General features: G+C 45.7%; 2 annotated features.

Annotated features, from left to right (window-relative positions):
• Nucleotides 4,706-5,295: an enhancer, noted in NCBI's record as "NANOG-H3K27ac-H3K4me1 hESC enhancer chr14:97491895-97492484 (GRCh37/hg19 assembly coordinates)". NCBI's record gives its function as "activates a minimal SCP1, AML or CMV promoter by ChIP-STARR-seq in naive and primed H9 embryonic stem cells {active_cell/tissue: H9 hESC(naive and primed)}" and the evidence as "EXISTENCE:reporter gene assay evidence [ECO:0000049][PMID:30033119]".
• Nucleotides 5,296-5,884: an enhancer, noted in NCBI's record as "H3K27ac-H3K4me1 hESC enhancer chr14:97492485-97493073 (GRCh37/hg19 assembly coordinates)". NCBI's record gives its function as "activates a minimal SCP1, AML or CMV promoter by ChIP-STARR-seq in primed H9 embryonic stem cells {active_cell/tissue: H9 hESC(primed)}" and the evidence as "EXISTENCE:reporter gene assay evidence [ECO:0000049][PMID:30033119]".

Raw genomic sequence — 6,585 nt, forward strand, 5'->3', positions numbered from 1 at the left:
AGCCATTTATCTAACAAGCGTTTCCAGAGTGACTCCTTTGTTCTAGGCTCTGTGCAGTTTCTGGGAATTCAGAGATGTCTAACACCCTCACCTTGTAGGGAAGGAGCTCTTGGAAGGCGTCTGGGCTATGTATGATTTGGGGAATAACATCTTGAATTAAGTATTCTAATTGTACTCCATTTTCCCCAAATATTCAAACACCAATGTTTTTTGGGGGGCTGGGAAGTTCCAACAAAGGTAAGTAGTGCCTTGCACAATGGTTGGCCCGTGGTAGATGCAGTGACAGGGAAAGCACACAGGCAGTAGAGGAAGTTGTGGCAGACTGTGCTCTTGTTCTGGTGATAAGATTACACTTCCCATTGACATCAAATGTGGTCATGTGGCCTGCTTTGACCGCTGATGTGGGAGATGGATTGCCGTGTGCCCAGCTAGAAAGGAACTTTAAGACTTCCCTGGGCTCTGGAAGTTGGAGGTTGCAGTGAGCCGAGATTGACCCACTGCACTCCAGCCTGGGCAACAGAGTAACACTTCATCTCAAAAAAGGAATTAAAAAAAAAAAAAGAAAAGAAGACCTCCCTGGGCTCCTTTCCCTCTGCTAAGACCCCACCTATCCCAGCTGGTGGCTGCTGCTTCAGCTCAGAATGAATTTTTATGGTTATAAGCCACTGAGATTTGGGACTGCTTGTTACTGCATGTTGCTTAGCTTAAGCTGTCCAATATAGAAGACTTCACAGAGGAGGCACATCTGACCCAGTCGCTGAAGGATGAACCATGGTTTTACCAGGCTGCTGGAATGTATTTGCAAAGAAACAGAGGCAAGGCAATGGGAGCATGAGTTAATTAGGATATAAGCTGACTTTCTGTTTGCAGAGAGCTAATATACTGATAGCTCAGACAGAAGAGAGGTTTATTTCTCTCAGGCTCGGCAAAATCAGTTCAGGGCTGGCATGATGGCTGCATGATGTCAGGTCCTAAGCTCCCCCTGTTTTGTTGCTGGCCCTCTCTTAGTCCACTCCCATGTCTACGTGCTAGTCCACAGGAAAGGGGAAGAGATAAACTCCCTTATTCCTAGAGGTGGGACATATAGATTGCAAGCCTCACCTCCATTCCTTAGTCACATGGCCATCCTGAGCAGCAAGGAAGGCTGGGAAATGTAGTTTTTATTGTGAGAGACATGTGTCCACCTATGAAGGCAGAGAGACTGAGACTGTAGGACAAACTGCCCCAGTATTTTGAGGACTGGGGAATAGTCAGTGCCCTTTTAAATGATAGGATCTGTGGTGTGAGCAGGGAGTACTACAGATGCTGTCCCACTGTGCTCATTGGAATGGATAAATATTTTTGAATCCACAAATATGTAATGGGTAATTCTGTATGTAACAGGAACACAGAACCCACATTAGCCAAATGCAAATTGCTCCTTTTAAAGTGGGGGTAGACTCTCTCTCCTTCTCACCTTCTTTCTGATCGGATCATAGACCCAGAGCTGCAGCCCATCTCCTCGGTGTCCCATAACAGAATGATCTGCTCTTGACTAAGTGTCAAAGTGATTTTTTTTAAATGGACAGATGGTCCAGGTCACTCTCAAGATTAAATTCTCCTACGTCTTCCTGTTGCTCCTGCAGACCCCCTGTCTACCCTTCTCCCCCTGCTCAGTGCCCCAGGAACCAACCTGTGTGAAATTTCTCATGAACTTCATCAAGGGGCTTCCCTTGCTGTCTGGTTTTGGTTGGGTTTGGTCAGTGGGAGCCCTAGAGGAGATAAGAGGGAAGGAGGAAAGGGAGGTGAGGCTTTGTTTCTACACAGTAAGACAGTGTTGTAATTTATGGGACTCAAAAAATGTACACTTATTTTTAAAAATTTTCCAAAGCAATACTATGATACCTGATTCAAGAAATATAGGAATGGAGAGTGTATTAGTGTACTAGGGCTGCCATTACAAAGCTTAAGTGAAGTGGCTTAAACATAGAAACTTATTCTCACGGTGCTGGAGGCTAGAAGTCCAAGATCAAGGGATCTGTGGGCCATGCTCCCTCTGAAGGCACTAGGGAAGGCTCTGTTCCAGACCTCCCTCCCCTGTACCTCCCTCCTTGGCTTGTGGCCACAGACTCGGATCTTCACATGCAGTGCTCCCTGAGTGTGTGTGTCTGGTCCAATGTTCCCTTGTTATAAGGACACCACTCGTATTGGATTAGGGCCCATCCTAGTGACCCATTTTAACTTAATTACTTCCAGAAAGACCCTATCTGTAAAAAGGGTCACATTCTGAGGTACTGGGGGTTCAACATATGAATTTTGCGGGGGTGGGGGGAGGGTACACAATTCAAGCCATAACAGATAGTGAGAAACACAACAGAAGGAGCTCCCTGCACCTGCTGTGACCTTTGCTTCCAGCTCCCCACCCAGGGTGAAGCAACTGCTGTCAATACTTTGGAGGCCACGATTCCGACTTTCCTATGCTTACACATCCCTTGATTACATACCCTCACATGCCATGTGTGAAGAGAGAAAAATCAAGAAAAAGGATAAACCTACAAACATGGAAAATAGAGAAATCCCTGAAAACACAAAGCCTTAATGTCCAGGTTCTTATTCTTAGTTTGCCGATTTGTTGATTTGCCTTTATTTTGTGATGGGCTCTGTCTCAGATGTGATTCTGAGGCACGGGGTAGGACAGTGGGCAGCCTGGAGGGTTCTAGACCTGCTGGTCTCTTCTGTGTGAGCCTCTCTGAGGGTGAGGCTGATTAGAATCTGCTGATTGCTGCTGCGGCAGAGAGAGGAGGACAGCCAGCCTCGCACCTCCGCATTTGCACAACCTGGAGTCCCAAAGCTTCTCCCTGCAGGTATGCCTTAGGGAGGAGCGGAAGGTGGAGGTTCCATGTCCTAATCAGGGCCCCAGACTGAGGGACGCCTCTTCTTCTTCACAGACAAGTGGGAGCTGGACTCTGACAGAATATCAAAGTGAAAATTAATGCCCGCTGCTTGTATATTGCCTAGACGTTACTTTTGAGAGGAAAACAACAGGAGCAGAGCGAAGCTGTACATATGTTAAATTCACATCAGTAATAAAGATTAAGTAGAAGTTAATAGCATCCCAGTCATGCTTGTGGAGGTAATCTCCTTTCTGAAAATTCAAAATTAGATTTGGAGGATCGAAGCAAACAGGGGGTGAGACTTTGGCGTAATATTTTAATCAAATTGTCATGAATGAGTGGATACAATTAAGAATTCTGTCAGTCAAAGTGCTGAGGCCCTTTTGTTAGTCAGCGGTGGGAGGGGTGCGCTGGGCCGTGGTGGGGAGAGATTAAACTTGACCTTTCCTAGGGTCTTCATTTTTGACCCTGAGGCTGGGCTTTGCCTGTCAGATGGCTGTTTTTTTTTAAAAAAAGTATGTGTGTGTGCATGAATGTGTATACCTGTGCATGTGTGCGTGCACTCAGGCATGTGTATACATGTGTATACATGTAGTTGCAAGAGTGTATGTGTGCGCTTGCATGTGTGTGCATATGTGCATGTATGTATGTTTGCATGGTGTATGCAGATGTGCATGTGAACGTATGAGGCCATGCATGTGTCCGTGTGTGTGTACAAGGCAGCTGTGTATTGTGCTATTGTGCACGTGTGCACACATATGCATATGTGTGTGTGTGTGCAAGGCAGTGAGAAAGAAGGAATTCGGGGCAAACAAAGGATTCGTGCTGTGTCACTTGTGGCAAATTCTGTCCATAAGTACTCTTTTAAATCTCACTCCTTCCCTTTCCTTTGTAGCTAAAGACAGGTGTTTTGGGGGCAAATATTCACGTGCATAGGATGTGTCCACCTGAGATAGCTCCATGCAGATAGCTACACTAATACCGTCCAAGGCCATATGCAAAGGGTAATGTAATTGACATCAATGAATGAGTGAATGACTGCATGTATTTGCTAACTTTGACTATAATGTCGTTTTGCAATCAGTGTAACTCCTGAACCAAGTTGCATGCCCTGCCATCTCTTCTCTTAAGGCTCTGTACTTTTCAAGACCTGCTTTTTGTAACCCCATTTTTAACGGTTGAGATACCAGACAATGTTTACTCTTTCTCTCTTTCTACCACTCTCTCGTCACCATCCCTTCTCCCGCATGACATTGATTTATTTTTAATTTTGATCCATGGGTAGTGGGGTTGTAGAGAAAGATGCTGGCAAAAATATCTTTCTGTTTCCCTTCTGCAGCTATAGTCTGCCATGTAGGTGGATCTTATTTATCAATGATTATAAATCAATAAGGACAATGCAGAATAGCGGGATGAGCCAGGCTTCCCAAGCCTCTGGAATTACAGACTTCAACATGCATGAATGCAACGTGTCTGATGTGGAATTTATTATTTTAAGCAGATTCAAGTAGATTTGAGGTTCTTTTTTAAAAAACTTATTTCCTCCAAGGCGGTAGCTGCTACTGCTACTCCATCTTCCCTCTTCAAACCCTGTGTTTGGGAAATAGACAAATGCCTTCAACATAAGATGACAATATGTAATCAGTGTCCCTGCGGTTTATTTTACCTTTTGTTGTAGAAGAGAATAAAGTCAGAGGAACTTAACGTTACTCCCTCCACTTGGGTGAACATTTAGAGGCCGAAGGACCTAATTATTTTTTAACACTGCCGTTAGTGCATTTGCCTGGGGAATTATTTCAAATCAACTGACAGACCTATTGTGCTTGTGACATCACAACAACTGGCTTTTTACACTGAAAACAAGCCTTCTGTTAATTCAGCAATAACACACCCTGCACGCAAAAATTGCATTAGCAACGTCTAACCCGAGTGTTGAACACATTCAGAAATAAACACTATTGCACTACAGGGGTTGAAAGGGAATATGCATCAAAATGCCTGGCATTTAATATTTTCCCCCTTCTTCGGGAATTTAGCCGGTGAAATATAGCTGCCAGTGTCCCAGGTCTGCGCGCGCGCTCCTGCAATATGCTCTCGATCAATCAGATTTGCATAACTAAACTGTCTGCGAGCCCGCTCGGCTGCCCAGGTGCAAGGCCATTTGCATATAGAACAGTGAGGAGGTCCCAGGAGTCACTTCAGACCGGAGCGACTGCTGAGCCCGCAGTCCACACAGCCCAGGAAATGAAATTGCAATGACAAAAAAAATGGGAGTGCTCGCCTAGGAAGGGTGAAATATGCAGGCACGTTGCAAAGGTTATGTAGAGATTACCAGGCGGCAGTTTCCAGATGCAGAAAGACCCACTGGTGTCCAAGGCAGAGGTGCCACAGGGTGGGCGACAGTGCAAGGCGAGGCCCCTGGGAGGGCTCCTCTCACCTGCCGGAGTCCCCTTGAACCTGTAGAGCGATTTTGGGACTTCCAGGGCCTCTCCTTACGTGTAAAGACTTCCCAGGCCTGATCCCTTTGCAAGACAGGCTTACCAAAGGGAAGTGGGGTCTGGCACCGTGTCCTCCAAATAGCAGGGGCTCATCCTGCTTCTTGGCCTTGTAGAATGAACTGCTTTTTAAGTGCCAAGTCCCCTGGGCTGAGTGCTGTGGGTCATAAGGTTACCCCACCTTATACTAACCCTACAAAGTGGGGCTGTCATCATCCATGTTTTCTGGAATGCTCAGAGAGAGCAAGTCTCTGGTCCAGGGTCACACTGCCAGAAAGTTGGTGGAGCAGGGAGGGAATCCCAGAAGTGCAGGGAAGACCAGCGGATTATTCAACGTCAGCCAGCACATCAGTAATGGGCAAGCACTTTGATTTCCTGGTTCCCAGCCAGGACTTGATCTACTAGTCCTTCCTTCTGTAAGGGCCAGAGAGTAAACACCAGGCTTTGCGGCAGGGCCACGTCTTGACTTTTGTGGGTCCTTGGCACTTTTACCTTCTTGAGTCCCTTTCTTGGTAAGAAAATATAAAAAATATTACAACATATTATACAATTTTTACAATATTTTGTCTATTTACAATAAAGACAAAGATAGCCTAGGTTGGATTTCTTATTATTATATTCATGTTTTTCTTCCTATTTTAAAGTAAATTAGAATTAAAACATTTTTGTGAGCCCCTAAAAGTAACTGAGGCCTGAGGCACTGTGTCTGGTGGGCCCAGTGGAGTGCTAGGCCCTGCTTGTCTGGCAACCTGCTCTCCCCTTTTCCTACCCATCTCTGCCGCTATATGGCAACAGCTGTCCTGGATGGTATAGGAATGAACATGTGGACTGTGTTCCCGTCAGACCTTATTGATGGACACAGCAATAGGAATTTCCTATAATTTTCAGGGGTCACAAAGGCTTCTTCTGAGTTCTTTTCCACCCATGTACAAATCATTCTTTGCTCAAGGACCTTGGAACTATGCCATGTAGGTTTCCTGGGCAAAGCCTCCCCTGACGTTGGACTTGGTAACATGAGAAACAAGTTCTAGGCATATCTGCTGAGAAATAATATTTTATTTTTCCTTTATCCATTAGGGATGGCCCCATTTTGAGGGAGCTGTCCCTTTGCCCACCAAGTGCTAATGACACAGAGAATTGTGCTGTCTCCCAGGCCTGGGGCTGAGGAGGCTGAAAGCAACGAACAGCACCCCCATCCTCTCCAGCGTTTTTCTCCA

Source organism: Homo sapiens, chromosome 14, assembly GCF_000001405.40.
Source record: "Homo sapiens chromosome 14, GRCh38.p14 Primary Assembly".
Classification (NCBI taxonomy): Eukaryota; Metazoa; Chordata; class Mammalia; order Primates; family Hominidae; genus Homo; species Homo sapiens.